Source organism: Homo sapiens, chromosome 3 (assembly GCF_000001405.40).
Source record: "Homo sapiens chromosome 3, GRCh38.p14 Primary Assembly".
NCBI lineage: Eukaryota > Metazoa > Chordata > Mammalia > Primates > Hominidae > Homo > Homo sapiens.
Genome location: NC_000003.12, coordinates 85785093 through 85805076, shown reverse-complemented (window position 1 = coordinate 85805076; position 19984 = coordinate 85785093). Strand labels below are relative to the sequence as shown.

General features: G+C 35.2%; 1 protein-coding gene and 1 long non-coding RNA gene across 18 annotated transcripts in view; one reads left to right on the top strand and one right to left on the bottom strand.

The window, feature by feature from the left end:
* The window catches only part of CADM2-AS2 (CADM2 antisense RNA 2), a 28064-nt gene extending 22974 nt beyond the window's left edge, over positions 1–5090 (top strand). The window contains exons 3-4 of the long non-coding RNA NR_046752.1: positions 4126–4274; positions 4654–5090. This is a non-coding gene — a long non-coding RNA (CADM2 antisense RNA 2). The remainder of the gene's footprint in view (positions 1–4125; positions 4275–4653) is intronic.
* Positions 1–19984, bottom strand: part of CADM2 (cell adhesion molecule 2) — a 1115441-nt gene that overhangs the window by 269353 nt on the left and 826104 nt on the right. For 14 of the 17 annotated variants that reach the window (NM_001375960.1, NM_001167675.2, NM_001375964.1 and 11 more), the window contains one exon: positions 2881–3030. The exons of 2 other annotated variants lie outside the window; for them this stretch is intronic. In NM_001375960.1, coding sequence (NP_001362889.1) covers positions 2881–3030 — 150 coding nt within the window. Of the gene's footprint in view, positions 1–2880; positions 3031–11179; positions 11279–19984 lie in introns of all 17 variants that reach the window. One more of the 17 variants, NM_001375961.1, reaches the window with a different exon arrangement.

Genomic DNA, 19984 nt, shown 5'->3' with positions numbered 1-19984 from the left:
CCCAGCTAATCAGGAGGCTGAGGCAGGAGAATTGCTGGAGCCGAGGAAGCGGAGGATGCAGTGAGCCAAGATCGTGCCACTGAACTCCCTGAGCAACAAAATGAGACCCTGTCCCAAAACAAAACCAAAAAAAAAGTGCATACTTCAACAATTCATAGAACTGGTGTATTTATTATTTCAAGGCAGTGTAAAGATGCAGGAATATATTACCATATTTCCCAAATATGGCATGACTTTTTTTCTCCTCATAATTATCCCTCAGAAAAAAGGAGGCTGCCTTATATTCAAGTCTTTGCAAATCTTTTATGGCAAGTTGCTCTCTGTTTTCTCCAGGAAAGATACATTAGCTTGAAATATCCCAAATCAATTCTAGTTTTCTAGTTTTAGATGTTTTTTAGAGGATAACTTATAGAATCACTAAAAGTGGAGGCAAGGGCATTTCATATAGATTTTGTCTTTGTGCCTGAGGATTTGACCTCACGATTGGAGATGTCACTGTAAACATGACTCTTAAAAATCTCCTTAAAAAGCAGTACAAGTGTTGTTATAAAGTGGAGATTGTCATTATACACCTGTGGGATGAATGAACAACAACAAAAAATGTTCTAATGTTATAAAAGTTTATAGTTGCTGCTTGGGACAAATTTGTTGTTGATAGTGTGCTACACTTTCAAAAACTGCTAATAAGCAAGATTGCTTCATTAAACACAGGGATGGAAAAAAGTAGTATTTATAAATTAATATTTTTCCATATTACTTTAAATATGTATGTATAACCAAGTTGACAAATTAACTAATATAATAATATATTTAGTTTCGTAATGAACATTTCCAGAAGTCTATTTTTTTCCAGAACATTTTCTTTTGCATCATAGTTTCAAGCAAATGAGACATGTCCTTAAAATTGGCACCACCTTATATTTGAGCATACACTTTAAATATTTATTTACTAATATTTGTAACCAATTAATACGAAAAGCAAAAAGAGATTGTTTAATCTCTATGAGTGACTTTGTGTATGCATTTAATTTTTTTAACTAGTAGAACTTCATTTGTTGGAAAGAAAACTGAAACTGCAAATTAAATCTCTTTCTAAATAATAAAGTTCTACTTGAGTATTAGGTATTAACTGTCCATGACAGTAAATTTTATATTAACTGTCAATATGTCAATAATTTTATATTAAATGTCAATATGACTGGGCCACTGTTCCCAGATGTTTGGTTAAACAATCATCTAGATGTTTCTGTGAAGGTATTTTTTTAGATGAGTTTAACATTTAAAATAGTAGACTTTGAGTAAAGCAGATTATTCTCCATAATGTGGACAGGAGACACTCAATCAGTGGAAGGCCTTATGAGAAAGTCTGAAGTCCTCTAAGTACCCTAAGGAAGAAGAAATTCTCCCTGACACTGCCTCTGGACATGAGCTGCAACAGAATCTCTTTGGGTCTCCAGCCTACCAGCCTGCCCTGCATTTTTCAAACTTGCCAGACCCCAAAATTACTTGAGCCAATTTATTAAAATAAATATCGATCAATTGATCTATCTATCTATCTATCTATCTATCTATCTATTTATCTATCTATCTATCTGTCTGTTTCTTCATTTTGTCTCCCTGGAGGCCCCTAACAGTTCCTTTATCCCTGGTTCATTCTTCTGCATAGCACTTGTCCCCTTTTAATGTATGATATAATGTATTTCATTTGCATGTTTCTTTATTGTCTGTCTCCTCCACTACACTGTATTCCCTAAAAAGGCAGACACTATGAACTTCCTGCTCCCTAATTTTAATGCCTGGTACAAAGGGACTCTCAATAAATATTTATCAAATAAATGAATTAGATGCTTCATCACTCCTTCATTATATATTTAATATTTAAAACAAACTAAAGATTTCATTTTAAATCTAGAGGACATCAAAGAAGAAAAATTGTAACAATGAACAAAATATAATGAATACATATTAAAGGTGGACTGAGCACATTTATTAGACTGTATGTGATATTTTAATTGTTTAAATGGAGCTGATTTGAAGTTATCTTACAATTACCTATACAGATTCATTAAAAAATATATTAAGACTAATAGTTAATTTTAAGAATAAGAATAGCTAATATATAAATAGTTATTTATATCCTATATAATATACATGTATCTTAAGCAACAGTCTCATATTTTCATTACAGTTATGGATTCACTTTTTCATCTAATAATGGATGAAAGCTTAGACATTTGTGTGCATTTTTAGTTGTTTGCTTGGATTACGTAAGATGAATTTCCTTTTTTCTCTGGAATGTTTAATCAAAATCTATTATCCAGTAAGAAGTTGAAATTAGTTAATGAAGTCCAATTCAACTTTAAAAACTACAGCTTCTTACTTAATTTCAGTTTATTTTGGAAACATGAAATACTTCAACATTCTGTGAATCATTTTTACAATTCTTAGTTTCGGAGCAAAGTCATGAAAATAAAATCATTAAACTTTTCAAAATCATATTGCATCTTCCAAATATATAAACCTAATTTCCATAAAAATCATATTATATTATCAGGAGAAAGAAAAAAACTCAAACTATACACAACATAGCTACAAGAGTGAGAAAATATGGTACCTAGACAGGAAATGGTTGTTAAGAGAAGGCATAAAACTATTTTCGAAACAGAATTATGAGTGTTTATTTTATTAAAAAGTTGACATAGGTTATCTTTGGTGTTTATGACTTGCAAACTAAAGTATTTAATATTTAACATGTTTAAATACAAGCAGCAGCAGTTTGGTAATCAAAAGGAATAGTTTGAATCATCTCAGAAAAATAAATTTATTGTAATTAGGATATTTTAGAATACGATTAAAACATTTGAAAGAAAATGTATTCACCTTTCTTGTCGTCAAAGTACAGAGTCTGTTGAGCTGGATTTGACCACTGGAGGGAGGTGTTATCATTTTGATCAACCCTGCAGGTCAAAATTGCAGTTCCACCTTCAACAACGGTTACATTCTGTGTTAGTGGAAACTGCCCTTGGCTGCCTAAAAGGGGATTAAAGAAAATGTTGATTAAATGAAAGTCATAAAATGATTAACTGCCTAAGATCTACACTGGCCTTAACTTCTCATGCAAAATAAAATTTAAAACAACCAAACAACGACAAAACTGTATATTACAAAAGACAGAAAAATAATTGAAAATCCTCAGAGAACAACAGCATTGACATATAATTAAGACTCCTTTGTACTCCCTACATGTTCTAGGAAACTTTTTTTGTCCTAGGCATACATAAAGATTTATATTCAAATAGTAATATTATATTTATTACTTTCCCTAGGCTTTGCATTAGTTAATACGGTACTAAACTTGGTCATTGTTGAAGATAAAGCACTGAAATAATTTTGGATGAGTTGAACTCTCTAAAGCAGTAGAGGAAACATAAAATATTTCCCTGGTAGCTTTTATAATCCTGAATAAAGTTTTTGAAATATGGATACTCAAACTTTAGATTCAATTTCTGATAAAGGAAATAAAAAATGAATCCCACTTAACTAGGTTTTCTTGTAGATTTAGCTCTTTTTAGAAATACAAAATGTATTGTGTAAAACAGTGGGAGTACTCTTTAAAAAGTGTAGAATATCCATTCAAACTCTAAATTATTAATCCTAGGTGATATAGGTTAATACTCTTCTTTGTTCCTTTCTGTAGTTTCTCGATTTTCTCCAAGTAATACATATTTCTTTTATAATCAGAAAAATACATATTTTTAAATGACCCTTGTTAATTTGGATATCATCAGTATGTAATCAAGGTTTTGCTCTTCTTAAGCATTTTACTAATTTGTTAAAGTAATTCATGTAATAAATTTACTTAATAAGTGCACTTCTAATAGTTTAATCAAAATTTATGCACACGGATACATAATACATAAATTTCTCTTCAGCAAGATGATCTGAAGATAAACTCTGCTAAGTCTGATAACCATGATTAACATGGGTAAGAATGACTTTCTAGAACCAGGTTAAAATATTATTATGTAAGCAAGGGAGTTCATTAAGTCAAGGATAATTTACATATGCAAGAACACTATAATGACTTAATCACATCCATGAAATATATTTCCTTTTCTTCTTTAGTTTTGTAATGATTCAATAATTACTACAAGCACCACTTGAGGTTATGCTGGAACTATTGGCGTAAGAATCTTATTACCAGGGATTCCCCGGCCAGATGGCCAAATAGGAACAGCTCCAGTCTGCAGCTCCCAGTGAGACCAAGGCAGAAGGTGGGTGATTTCTGCATTTCCAACAGAGGTACCCAGTTCATCTCAATGGGACTGGTTAGACAGTGGGTGCAGCCCATGGAGGGCGAGCAGAAGTAGGGTGGTGTGTCACTTCACCCAGGAAGTGCAAGGGGTCAGGGAACTCCCTCCCCTAAATAAGAGAAGCCATGAGGTCCTGTGCTGTAAGGGATGGTGCTATCTGGCCCAGATACTATGCTTTTCCCATGGTCTTTGCAACCCACAGACCAGGAGATTACCTCGGGTGCCTATACCACAAGGGCCCTAAGTCTCAAGCACAAAACTGGGCAGCCATTTGGGCAGACACTGAGCTAGCTGCAGGAGTTTTGTTTGTTTGTTTGTTTGTTTGTTTTTGGTATCCCAGTAGTGCCTGGAACTCCAGCAAGACAGAACTGTTCACTCCAATGGAAAGACGGCTGAAGCCAGGGAGCCAAGAGGTCTTCTCAGTGGATCCCACCACCATGGAGCCCAGCAAGCTAAAATCCACTGGCTTGAAATTCTTGCTGCCAGCAGAGCAGTCTGAAGTCAACCTGGGATACTCGAGCTTCGTAGAGGGAGGGGTGTCTGCTATTACTGAGGCTTGAGTAGGCAGTTTGCCCCTCACAATGTAAACAAAGCCTCCAGGAAGTTCAGACTAGGTGGAGCCCACTGCAGCGACAAAAATCCTCTGTTTCCACACTGCCTCTCTAGATTCCTCCTCTCTGAGCAGGGCATCCCTAAAAGAAAGGCAGCAGCCGTAGTCAGGGGCTTATAGATGAAACTTCCATCTTCCTGAGACAGAGCCCTTGGGGAAAGGGACGGCTGTGGGTGCAGCTTCAACAGACTTAAATGTTCCTGCCTGCTAGCTCTGAAGATAGCAGCTGATCTTCCAGCACAATGCTCGAACTCTGCTAAGGGACAGATTGCCTCCTCAAGTGGGTCCCTGATACCCATGCCTCCTGAGGTGGAGACACCTCCCAGCAGTGGTTGACAGACACCTCATACAGGAGAGCTCCAGCTGGCATCTGGCAGGTGCCACTCTGGGATGAAGCTTCTACAGGAAGGAGCAGGCAGCAATCTTTGCTGTTCTGCAGCCTCCGCTGGTAATACCCAGGCAAACAGGGTCTGGAGTGAACCACCAGCAAAATCCAGCAGCACATTAAAAACCTTATCCACCACGATCAAGTCATTTCATCCTGGGGATGCAAGTCTGGTTCAACATACTCAAATCAATAAATGTAATCCATCACATAAACAGAACCAATGACAAAAACCACATGATTATCTCAATAGATAAAGAAAAGGCCTTTGACGAAATTCAACACCCCTTCATGCTAAAAACACTCAATAAACTAGGTATTGATGGAACATATTTCAAAATAATAAGAGCTACTTATGGCAAACCCACAGCCAATATCATAATGAATGGGCAAAAGCTGGAAGCATTCCCTTTGAAAACTGGCACAAGACAAGGATGCCCTCTCTCACCACTCCTATTCAACATAGTATTGGAAATTCTAGCCAGAACAATCAGGCGAGAGAAAGAAATAAAGGGTATTCAAATAGGAAGAGAGGAAGTCAAATTATCTCTGTTTGCAGATGACATGATTGTATATTTAGAACACCCCATCGTCTAAGCCCAAAAACTCCTTAAGCTGATAAGCAACTTCAACAAAGTCTCAGGATACAAAATCAATGTGCAAAAATCACAGGCATTCCTACACACAATAACAGACAAACAGAGAGCCAAATAATGAGCAAACTCCCATTCACAATTGCTACAAAGAGAATAAAACACCTAGAAATACAACTTACAAGGGATGTGAAGGACCTCTTCAAAGAGAACTACAAACCACTGCTCAAAAAAATAAGAGGGGACAAAAACAAATGGAAAAACATTCTATGCTCATGGATAGGAAGAATCAATATTGTGAAAATGGCCATAATTTCCAAAGTAATTTATAGATTCAATGCCATCCCCATCAAGCTACCATTGACTTGCTTCACAGAATTAGAAAAAAAACTACTTTAAATTTCATATGGAACCAAAAAAGAGCCCATATGGCCAAGACAATCCTAAGCAAAAAGAACAAAGCTGGAGGCATCACACTAACTGACTTAAAACTATATCACAAGGCTGCAGTAACCAAAACAGCATGGTACTGGCACCAAAACAGAAATATAGAGCAATGGAAAAGAACAGAGTCCTCAGAAATAATGCCACACATCTACAACCATCTGATCTTTGACAAACGTGACAAAAAGAAGCAATGGGGAAAGGATTCCCTATTTAATAAATGGTGTTGGGAAAATTGGCTAGCCATATGCAGAAAACTGAAACTGGACCCCTTCCTTACACCTTATACAAAAATTAACTCAAGATGGATTAAAGATTTAAACATTAAGATCTGAAACCGTAAAAACCCTAGATGAAAACCTAGATGTTATCATTCAGGACATAGGCATGGGCAAAGACTTCATGACTAAAACACCAAAGCAATTGCAACAAAAGCCAAAATTAACAAATGAGATCTACTTAAACTAAAGAACTTCTACACAGCGAAAGAAACTATCATCAGAGTGAATAGGCAACCTAAGGAATGGGAGAAAATTTTTGCAATCTATCCATCTGACAAAGGTCTAATATCCTGAATCTACCAGGAACTTAAACAAATTTACAAAACAAACAAACAAACAAACGACCCCATCAAAAAGTGGGCAAAGGATATGAACAGACACTTCTCAAAAGAAGACATTTATGCATCCAATAAACATATGAAAAAAAAAGTTCATCATCACTGGTCATTAGAGAAATGCAAATCAAAACCACAATGAGATACTATCTCATGCCTGTTAGAATGGCACTCATTAAAAAGTCAGGAAACAACAGATGCTGGAAAGGATGTGGAGATACAGGCACGCTTTTTCACTGTTGGTGGGAGTAGAAATTAGCTCAACCATTGTGGAAGGCAGTGTGGTAATTCCTCAAGGATCTAGAACTAGAAATACCATTTGACCCAGCAATCCCACTACTGGGTATATACCCAAAGGATTATAAATCATTATGCTATAAAGACACATGCACACACATGTTTATTGCAGCTGTATTCACAATAGCAAAGACTTGGAACCAACCCAAATGCCCACCAATGTTAGACTGGATAAAGAAAATGTGGCACATATACACCATGGAATACTATGCAGCCATAAAAAAAGGATGAGTTCATGTCCTTTGCAGGGATATGGATGAATCTGGAAACCGTCATTCTCAGCAAACTAACACAGAAACACAAAACCAAACACCGCATGTTCTCACTCATAAGTGGGAGTTGAACAATGGAACATATATATGGATACAAGGAGAGGAACATCACACACCAGGGCCTGTTGGGGTAGTGGGGTAAGGGGAGGGATAGCATTTGGAGAAATACTTAATGTAGATGATGGGTTGATAGGTGCAGCAAACCACCATGGCACATGTATACCTATGGAACAAACCTGCACGTTCTGCACGTGTATGCCAGAACTTGAAGTTAAAAAAAAAATTATAAAGTTCTAAAACTCAGATGGTTTCTATCCAAAAAATAACAAGTTTCCACCTAACTTTATAGAAGAGAATGTTTATTGCTATGTAACAAAAAGATTTTCCTAAAACTGGGCACTTCTGCTTTGGACAGGTAATTTTCTTTTTTTTTTTCTTTTTCTTTTTTTTTTTTTAAATGGATTCTTGCTCTCTTGCCAGGCTGGAGTGCAGTGGCGTAATCTTGGCTCACTGCAACCTCCGCCTCCTGAGTTCAAGTGATTCTCCTGCTCAGCCTCCCGAGTAGCTGGAACTGCAGGTGCGTGTCACCACACCCAGTTAATTTTTGCATTTTTAGTAGAGACAGGATTTCACCATGTTGGCCAGGATGGTCTTGATCTCTTGACCTCGTGATAAGCCCATCTTGGCCTCTTAAAGTGCTGGGATTACAGGCATGAGCCACCACAACTGGCCAGAGAAGTAATTTTCTTATTGTGCAAATACAGGCTATTTGTGGCTCAATAAATAAAATGCTTGATAAGCGCTGTTCCCCCACTGGAAAAAAAAATCTTATTACCCAGAAGTGTGTTGATTGGCACCATAAGAGACAGAAGATTCTGAAGGGGAAAATTTCTTTCCACACCTAAATGACACAAGCATAGAGGTTCGTGATCACCTTACAAAATTAAGCCTATCAAGTAAAAAATCTGATATCAGAGGCTTTGTCTCCTCAATGCCAACCTCTCAGAGTTGCCATCGCCCTGTAATTTTTAGGGTGGAGTTTTTAAATTGAGGTTAGAAAATGTCTGGAATAAATTCCTGGATAGTTGACTTGAAAGTCAACAGGAGCCACAGTGGGATGTGTTTTGCCTTCAGCTCAGAGGTGACCTCTAGCAAGGCGACATGGAGAACTATCAATCTTGTGAAGTGAGGTGAGGCGAAAAACCACATCAGAGAAAACATGATGTAAGACAGAAAGAAGAAATAATTACCAGAGATTAGGAGCTCAGAAATATGAAGCTCCAAATGGTTTCAAAACACTTTTCTTGGGTCCCTGATATTGATATAATGCATAAATTGAGCAATCAGGGAGTTATTCTTTAAGCAATAAAAAGCACGCAATTGCTAATAAAAATATACATGGTTCAGCCCAGATGACATTTTGATGATCAACCAGTACATAAATAAGACTGTTTGCTTCTTTAAATAAGTGGAAAAAGAGCAGTGATGCTTGCGAAAATCTCATCCACTACATTTACAAAACAATTTTCAAAACATTCCCATAAGAAAATATCATCCTTCTCATTTCACAGATGGGCAAACTGACACTGGGAGGTGAAGTGATTTTTCCATGGTGAAACAAAGTCAATGAACCATTTGGAGTTTGTTCTGAAAGTTCAACATTTTCATTCTTATCTATTCACAAAGGCTTTATCCCTGTTTGTTTAAATGTAAATTAGACAACAATGAAAACAAATGAGTCACCATTTGAAACTTTAAATTGGAAATTTAAGATGTCAATACTAACTGTTCTTAAATATCTTATCCTCTTGATAACGTATTTTTGATAACTAACTGTCCCTAAATATCTTATCTTATTGATACCTTACTTTTATAATTTATTTTTTCTTACTGGACCATAGAAGAAAGAAACTAATGTTTGTTAGAGTCCTCTACATGCCAGATATTTAATATACACTAGTTTACCTATACCTCGTTCTTCCAGGTTGGAGATTAGAATAGCTTCCCTCCATCTTCTCCCCACATGTATTCTGACTTTGAAGTATGATTTTAGTTCTCTAGGACCCGCAGCCTAAAATCCCTGCAGTCAAATAACTTAGTTTTTCCCAATACAGAGCAAGCTTCTGTGGAGAATCTCCTAATCCTAAATGCCCTTGGGATATGTGGTTTCCAAAATCAATTCAAAAGCTTTGTTGTAGATAGTCAAAAGTCTCAAAGCTATGAATTGCCTTTTACTTCTGATTTTAACCTGAAGAGAGCATGAGTTAGCTGCTACTTTATCTTTTAACTCTTCATGGTTCAAGGTCTCCATTCAATCTTAGAGTCTTTCCAAAGAAGTTACTAATTTTTCAAATTAGCAAAATTAGTATGCTACCAGGTAACCATAATTAATAATAATATGTTGTGTATTTCAGAATTACCAAAATAATAGATTTTTAATGTTCTTACCACAAAAATAATGGTTAAGTTGGTGAGGTGATGAATATGCTAATTAGCTTGATGGAATATTTTTGTAATGTTTGCATAGATCAAAAAATCACATTGTACCCCAAAAACATGCAAAATTATTATTTGTCAATTAAAATATATTTTTTAAAATTTAAAAATCTTGGCCTTAATTCAATAATTACATAGATGACCTACTATATAGAGAACCTACTATGTGCCTTGCTTTGTATGAATCAACATCTGAAGGATGGGTAAAGAAAGAGAAGCTTACTAAGGAGTCCGCAAAGTAATTAGATACTTTAGGAGAGAGTGTAATGACCAGGAAGAAAACAGCCCAGATGGTACAGTATGGATCTTGTTTACCATCTACAAGGATTTTTAATATACATTGGTCATATCATCGAGAGCTTATTTTAAAATAACACTGGGTCTGGCTAAGCTCACCACCATCCTAGATTTCAGAGGAGTCATTCTTATCAAACAAGCATATGACAGGATTTAAAAGAAACAAAACTTTCAGTTGGGAATCTTAGAAGCTGGCTACTTTTCCAAGCAAGTTACATTTATTATTTTCTTCCTCTCCTTCTAGTGTTTACTTCCTCTTATCATTTGTGTAAATATCTCTCTCCCTTACTTGATTCTAATCCAATTAAGGTTATAGTAACTGAGACATCTTACTTATCTTTTAATCAGCTACACTGTTTACCATATTGGATAGTAAATAGAAGCTCTCAAAAGGTGTTCATCATCTAAAGTAAATGCACCATCTTAAAACAATGGCTGGCATTTGCAGGGGCCCTTTTGACAGTAGAATGACCAAGGTAACTTAAGTCTCATGCATTTGTTCATGGTCAAGATGGAAGGCCAAAAAGAAAGACTAATTCTTCACTGAGAAAATATATGGAAAATTTAAATCATAAAAACCTTAAAGATATATTAGTATCACATCTTAAGACTTTTTAAAATTATAAGTAAAATACATAAGGATTATATGTATGAAGATAAAACAGATGGTGATCCAGAACAGATATATCTGACTATTAAACCCCTAAAATAAGACCTGAAATGACAGGACTATGCCATATTTATGCACCTTAAAGGGAAAAATAGGCATATAATTAACATTTTTTGAATATTAAGTATAAGCCCTACCTAAGCCTTTTTAGGTAGATGCAGTTCTGTGATTTTGAAAGTATTTTACCTTTTCTTCCTTGTCCAATAAATCTTGCATCAACATCCATTTTAATAGAGACTTTTCAGTGGCCAGGAAAATAAGGTAAATTCAATTCTGACTAAACAACTGTGATAAAAGCAAAACATAGTTTATAGTCAAACATGTCAAAGATGCATTTAGACCTTTTACACCTATTTTTAATAAGAGAATGAACATTTGAAATCCAAGTAAAAGCTTAATGTGCTGGAGTTGGCTCACACCAGCTCCAGAGCATCAAGTAGGTGAAACTCGTCTCAATTCATGCTCAGTGACATAGGTTGGCAGCTTGAAACTGACCACAGAGGGTGTATTTTAACTAGGGAAGTTGGCAAACACCACAGCTCAATGATTTTCTCCATAGAGCATGTTGGTAAACATTTACAGCACACCTCTGAAACCCATCCTTGATATCTCTTTTTGGTGCTTCTGTGCGTATTTTTAGCTTTTTCCCCATTCGTACCCACAATTCTTCCAATAAAAATCCTTCAAATAGGCTCCCTTTTTTCCTCTACTCTGTGAACAGTGATCTTGAATTGCTAGTTTTTCTTTGGCTGCCAAGTTTAGTTCTCTCTAACTAACACCAGTGGTTGAAAACCATCTAAGTTAGTTTCAGGAGTTATGCAGAAATAATGTTCTTAATTTATTGCCATGAAATACATTTTAATGAAGAGCAATGATTCAATATCCTGAAAAAATAACTCTCCTGGTCCTATCTTTAAATAGCAGACTGAGCAGTTGCCATTATTCCTTCAATGTTGCCATCTGTCATATACTTAGAGAAAGAATGGTCAAACCTTTTTTGAATACATTAGGAATTATCAAGTTCAGAATCAAGTGAACTGAGTCTTGACTCCTGTTGACCTCAGTTAGTTAAGAGCTGTCCCTCCCTCAAATGTTCCATGGTGCCTTCACTGTCTAACCACCAAGAATCCAGCACACTATCACATAGGACATAAAGAAGAAAATTCTAAAATTATGGCCACTCTTACCTCTGTGATAGGCTATGATGTAACCTTAGAGCATAAAAGCAATAAGCGAAGTAGTAAAGAGAGATCTTTGAAATAAGTATTGTTGAAAGAGACTAGGATGATGCATGTTTTAACACTGATCCCAAAGCATCACTCTGCTTTCGAAAATAACATCATTCAAGCCTTGCTATCTCTTGATTGGATGATGAGTGGTGGCAATGGTTTTCTCCATCTCTCTTCCTGTGCTAAAGATTAAATGTGGCCATAGCAGTGGATCAGTGCACACTGCACATGAGTGCTTGCTCTCTAAGAGCAATAATCACCCGAGATATACCTAGAGAGACAGGCAGAGGTTGAGGCTTTGCATGTTTGAGAGGAAGTGAGTTAGTTGGTAGTTTTGGAGGGTCAATGATCAAATTTTGTGAGCTATTTAAGAGGAACTTAAGTCCTCTCACTATTCTTTAGTTCCTAAAAATAAGCAAAACTTTTTTGAAGGAAGAACCAGATTTAAAACAGTGAAGAGGAACAAACAAAAAACAAGATGTTAAGAATATTTAAGACACAATTTTTCAATAATAAAGTATAAAAGTCTCATAAGATAAACAATATCAAGTATTTTGACCCTTCATTTTGGCATATATTTGTCCTTAGTGAAAACTGTCAACTTAATCTACAAAATTAGTTAATTCAACAGAGACATAGACACCTGAATCAAATAGCATACATCATGTTTTGGTTGTTTTTAAAATATTTTTTTGTTCTCTCAAGAACCTCATTTAACAAAAATACTGTTCTTATATTAAGGTCCTCTTATAACTTGGTTGTGAAAACACAAATGCTAAATGGATCAGGAGATACAAAATAAGTTAACAATTCTTAAACATAACACTCAACTGGCCAGGCGCGGTGGCTTATGCCTGTAATCCCAGCACTTTGGGAGGCCGAGGTGGGCGGATCACAAGGTCAGGAGATCGAGACCATCCTGGCTAACATGGTGAAACCCTGTATCTACTAAAAAGTAGAAAAAATTAGCCAGGTGTGTGGAGGGCGCCTGTAGTCCCAGCTACTCGGGAGGCTGAGGCAGGAGAATGGCGTGAACCCAGGAGGTGGAGCTTGCAGTGAGCCAAGTTCGTGCCACTGTACTCCAGCCTGGGTGACAAAGTGAGAGTCTGTCTCAAAAACAAACAAACAAACAAACAACAACAACAAAAACTCAACAAGGAATGATGAAAGAGGCAACACATGTTTAAATGAAGTACAATGCTAGCCTACTATTCTTTAAGTTTTTCCCCTCAACTATTTTCAGTTTTTTTTTGTTTTCTCTCTCTCTGTCTCTCTTTCTTTTCTCTCTCTCTCTCTCTCTCTCTCTCTCTTTCTCTCTCTCTCTCTCTCTCTCCCTCCCCACCCCTCTCTCCGTCATCTGTTCCATCAACTGGTAAGGGGTATTTATACAAAGAACCTGTGTCTTAGAAAGTTCAAGATCATTCTTGTTGCCTAAATTAGAGTCTAAAAATATATCTAAATGCACACATAGCATGCTATTACTTCCACTAAATTACTGAAGGCATTCTAAACAAATAACCTTCTAATGTGAAAGTTGTGGCTCAGTAGTTGTGTGGACTGAAGCACATATTGCATTCTAAAGCCTACTGGACTGAAAAGCACAAATGTCATTAAGGCCGGCTTATAATTCTCCAGAGAAGTGCAATGAATGCTCTATCATGTGAGATAGGAAATTAGAGGAAAAACTAAGACTGATAACTAAGTGCAAAATGTTTCCACTTTTGGAATGCCCCTCTGTTCTTTCAAATACTTAGAATTCTGTAGTCATTTTTAAAAATCATTTTATTGCAGCTTTTAGGTTTGTCTGAAAGACTTTAAGTTGTCTGCTGTCCTAGGCAACCACATAATATTTTATTTTTCTTTGATTCTACCTCATCCATTTGAATTCAGCCTGCCTTTTAGAGTACAACACCTGGTATCCACCTTCTGTGCCACCATTCTGCCCAGCCACTGTGGAGCATGGCCATCAGTCTGGTGCCGCTTGCCAGTTTCCACAGAGACAGGAAGTACTTTGGAGACCTGTATTCCATTGCAACTGCCAGACCAAGGCAGGGAAGAAACAAAGCTGGCTGGCAGCTGGGTCTTGCAAGGCCAGAAAAGGTTGGAAGGGCTTTCGCCTCCTGATATCAGAGTGTAACAGTGCCAGATTGGCAGCTTCAGCCCTTACAATCCCGTAGACCGAATCCTAGCGTTCACTATGGCCATTGTGAGCAGCCCATTCTGCTACCAACTCTGGGAGCAGAAACTCTTGTGTACCCAAAGCTTGGCCCTAGTTCTTTGTTGGCTTCTGATCCATGACAAAAGGCTCCTTCAGATTTACAGTGGCTCCCACAGCTCCTGACCCAGAGAATTATAATTCTCCTGTAGAAATTTTACCTCTCTTTTTTCCAGAATGTGATAATAGTTTTCTAGGCTGCTCATAGCAGACCAGGGAACTTATGGGATAACCCCTGGATTGTTTCCAGTTTACCTATACAGTACCTGTGAGTAGGTGACCCAGATAACACATAACATTATACCAGAACTAGCTACCATGTGCTGTGTCTATGACAGGACTTATATTTGGAATAAATTCTTGATTATCAGGATCAAAGCCAGCTGTGGAGAAATTTGTAATGTAGGTGAAACATAACATCATTGTCTTCCCCTCCATTTCAAAAATGTTTTGCATGATTGTGATATCTCAGCTTTCTTTAATATTCCCAGCACAGTTATTATTTCTATATAAAATACATTTTTCTAATTTCTCCCATTAGTTTTGTTTTACTCGGCCATATCACTAAAGTTTTTCTTAATTTACAATATCCCAAACTTCAGAGAGCACTTAGAAAATCCTAGGAAACTTTATTTAAAGGATGCTTTATGTTCTTACCCAGTGGCTGCATTGCTTTAGCATGTCTTAAAACATTATCAGATTTTTAAAGTTCTCAACACTTTTTTGACTTGTATGTGTACAAAGTCAATTCTTTCTATTCTTAGCTTTTCTGCTTATTACCCTGCCAAAATGCAAAATGAACACAAACTTGTTTACACACCATGCAATTAGTCAAATAGAATAAATACGAATATATGGCTTCATAACAAAAATAGATTTTTGTAATGAAGACTTTAAAATATATTTTGTTTTTATTAATTTATCCATATTTAATTCACTCCATAAAATGTTCAGTGTTTTCTCAAAAATTCAAACCATAGTTTATTCAATGAACACATGATTTTTCAAGGAAAAAGTGAACTTGATGAGTTGTTCTCATTTATATTCACCAGGCTACTTTTGTTCCTCTACAAATGTATCTTCAAATATTGTAATGTGAAAGAATCCAAAGCAAATGAAAGAATTTCAAAATGAAAAGAAAATTGTATGTCTCTCAAGGCAATATAAAAGAATAAGAGGGTTTTAAAATGATTTCTGTGATTTTAAAACAGGCTTACATGGTAATTATTATGTATACATAAAGTTATTTTATCTTTCTAGAATATTATTTTCAGGTTGAATGAGTAAGATCTAGAACTGACTAGCTTTACTTGCTAACTGATGAACATTTGAGAGGCAGCCTTCCAGAGAAAAGAAATTTATGACCACAATCACAGTCTGGTTCATAGTGAAGCTCAATCATGTTACTAAATTCTAAATTGAGATGTCAAACTGGAGGAAATATCCTGCAAAGGAACACACAGATGGTAGGACTCTTCTGGAGAGAGGGTGAGGAATATAGTGCTGAGCATACAATAATCAATTTTCTGGAGGCAATTGACTGGGTGGGACATAACTGTTTAAAATTGAAGTCCCTGGGAAAAACTTCAATCTGAGGCTCAAAAAAGGGAAATGATGTGTGTATATATTTATTTCATCCAGTAGGTCTTAGAAGGTTGATATAGTAAAGAAAGTCACTAATAATACTGAATTATAATATATTTTAAAAATTACATAAGTTCAATAAAAATTGAAATTCCTAATAACATTTCTAGAAGCAAATGAAATGACAAAAATCTATGAAAGGCAAGTATCATTAAAAACCTTATTTCAAATACAGAATTTTTTCAAATATGTGAATATAGAAAATATGACTAGCCAAATACGATAAAGATTATAAGGAAAGTTATGAATTGAGAAGATACTAGGACTTCAGTCTGGTTTTCATGCTGGTTTTTCCTAATTCCAAATGAAAAAAAAAAATTATTCAAACTCAAATCAATTGTTTCCTGACTTATTGTTGCTAGTTATTTGACTTACTGTATGTATATTTTGACGTTATTTTTATTTTGGATTGCACCTGTTATATGCATACTCTGGAAGCATAAAATTATATTGATTATTATCTAAATTGCTTCTACATTAATATTCTTTTTCTGTATTCTTCTCTGTAAAAAATTAAAATAATTGCATTGGTGCACTAAATAAAGTTATTTATGTAAAATAGCTACATAGATGTTTGGATTCTAACTCGTTAAATTACGGAATGTAATAAGAAATTTCAAAATGGCATAGATATAAAATATGTGTAAGAGAAAGTGATATCCAACATATGCATATGTCACTTAATAGTGTATAATTTCAGTTTATATTATTGATATGAACTATAAATATAACAATGTTTCCTGAAATTGCTTTTACATTTTTAGTGGATTTTACTGATAAAATATACCTCAATGACATTAGTTTATTCAACAAATGTATGTTTTATACCAGAACAGGATTCCCATAGTATGTGTTGGGAAAACAACTGTGAACAGCTAGAAATGATTCTTGCCCACCAGAACTAACAGCCTAAGGAAAGTAAAACAAAAAAGCACACATAAATAAAGACTTAGTTAAATGGCGAGAAACAGTCAGCCATTTAAAAATAGCCTGAGGTCAAGAATGTTAGACACCAGGGCCAGTATTCCAAAAAGTAAATCAGCTAATGCAAAAGTCCTGAGCTAGAGGCAGGAAATAGGTTAGCTGTTGAAAGAACTGAAAAATATCAATAGGACTGGCACACAACAGACAACAATGGTATAGCCCAAGATGAGGCAGAAAAGAAGTTCAAGGCCAGATCATGCAGGACTTGTTAGGTTATAATAAGGAGCTTACACTTATTCTACACACAACGGCAAGACATTGAAAGAAGTGATATGACTCATTTACATTATCAGAAAATGCTGTTTTCTAATTTGCTGACCCTTGAACAAGATGGGTTTGAACTGTGCAGGATCATTTATATAGGCATATGTTTCAAACAAATACAGGCTGAACATATGGTACTTGCAGGATGAGAAACCCACATATATGGAAGGCCAACTTTTAATATAAGCAGGTTTCACGGAGCCAACTGTGGGACTTGAGTATGCCTGGATTTTGGTATAGTCAGGGTTCTGGAACCAATACCCCTTGTCCAACACCAAGGAATGACTTAATCATGATCCCTAAGTCAAGCATTTTTAACCTTGAAGATGAATCATTGTAAAAATTGTGTTTACAATCAAGTACCTCATTGAGAAAATATTAAAGAATCCATTAAATCCTGGGATAATTGATTTACAGAGGTAACAATTTCGTGATTTTAATTTTTACACTGCAAAATACTTCCTATTAAATGGAGACCCATCTTTTACTAGCTTGAGTTTGTATAAAACAGGATTGTTATCTATATGCTCACATCCTCCTCACTCTTTGATGAAAAATGTGTCCTTTACTTCCACTCTAAAATGGCATTGGCTTGGTAAGTTCCTTGTTATTAATGATGCTGGTCATTTATTTTATTGCTGGCTTATAAACTGCAATATTTTTTTGGGAGAAAAGAAAATATTTCTGGTAATCCACCTATGGGTGTAAATATTATATTTAAAACAGTTTTCTTTTTCAAATATATATTTCTTTGAGTGAATAACAATACTATGCTTTCAAATGAACAAGTTCCCAGCAGACTACAAAAATGCAGTAACACAAAATTTAAGTTTTTCCCCTGTGAAATATAAACTTTATAAATACAACTTCTCCTTTGACTAATATCATAGAAATAATTTTCTTTTCCAAAACCAGAGTTTTTATCGCCAAGGTAACCATTGATATATGAATGTGAGACGTATAAAGCTCTTGATAGCAGAGGTATACATATACATAATATTTCATTCTCTGACAGACATAAGATACTGCCTTAGACATGGTGGGCACATATTTTTGAACACATAAACATTGTGTTCAAATGATAGTACCTTAATTATTTAAGTGTTGATCAATATGTAGTAACATAGAAATAAACTTGGAATATTCCCTAACGAACAAACTATCTTTTTTAAAAACAATGTAAAATAACACAGTGGTTAAAAGGATGTATTTTCCACTGTTTGATCATTTTTGAATGCACAAAGATTTCATTAATGTTGATTTCACCCATCTTGTCCATGTTTGCATGCTTTGATGTTCAAGCCCTTTGTAGTGCCACATTAGATCTAGGGGAACATTACCCTATGAGAGTTTAGTGGAAACTGTTGTGGGAACATATTAAAATGAAACTTGGTACTTTGTATAGATTTCTACAGATAAATTTGCTAAAGAAATTATACTTCTGATAAAGCAAACTGAGAATTAATACTTTTTTTGTATCCTTTTTTGGGATTACTACATTTTTAATCTGTTCATTAGAAAATTATAATGAAGTGTTTTTAATTTAAATTATTAAACTTCAATAAAAATTAAGGTGAAAGTGTAAAAATCTTTAATTATTTAAATTTATGAATGCAGATTCTGGAGAATAGTTGCAAAATGATACCTGGAAAAAATACATTCACAGCAAAGCCAATGGTCACTTCACTATCATATTGGGAGGAAAGGGCTAATAACGAATCATTGACCTTTCCTCTAGTATCCGGAACTCCTGAGCAGTTTCCTCTTGGTTGAATCATCTTTGCAATTCAAATCATTCATAGATTTGTACTGGATCCAAAATAAATGAGAACTGAGGAAGTTGCTATGTACTAGGCTAAGTGCCTGCAGGCTATTGTTGAGATTGTTTATTGCATAATAAATTATCAGTATTGATTAGATTTAGTTGTACAAGAAAATGGAAGCTGATGGAAGAATTTCGAATAGCCGGTGTCACTAGCAAGACAAAAATGCTTAAATAGACTCCAAAGATGGAAGCTTCCCTGAGCTGAGGTTGCTCATGCTAACTCAGTCTAATCTTTAGTACAAATGGCTATTATGCACATTCAGAAGCATTTCAAGGAGTCCCAGGGCCTCTGCTAGCTGGTGACATTCTGTTGTATCACCTGTCTTATATGACTTTCAGGTAAACTTGGTATTGGATAAAGCTTGGTGTGTTTCATGGATATTATTGTATCCATGAAACCTAGAATTGTGCTACTATGCTAGCAAAGTGGGCACCGCAACTACAATATTCAGATTAACACAAAATCAAATTTCTGCTTAGTATATCTGCTGAGGTTCAGGCTATTCTAATAATTCCAATAACAGATTAGTCTCAGTATTCATGCTTAAAATTGTACTTATTTGTCTTATTTCCTAAAGAAGTAGAAAAGCAAGTACAAACTGAACCCAAAATTAGTGCATAAAAGAAATAATAAAGATCGGAGCAGAAATAAATGAATCTGACACTAAAAAATATAAAAGATGAACAAAATGTAAAGTTGGATTTTTGAAAAGATAAAATTGACCAACCTTTAGCCAGATTGAGGAAAACAGAAAAAAGACCCAAGTAAATGAAATCAGAGATGAAAAATGATACATTACAACTAATACTACAGAAATTCAAAGAATCAT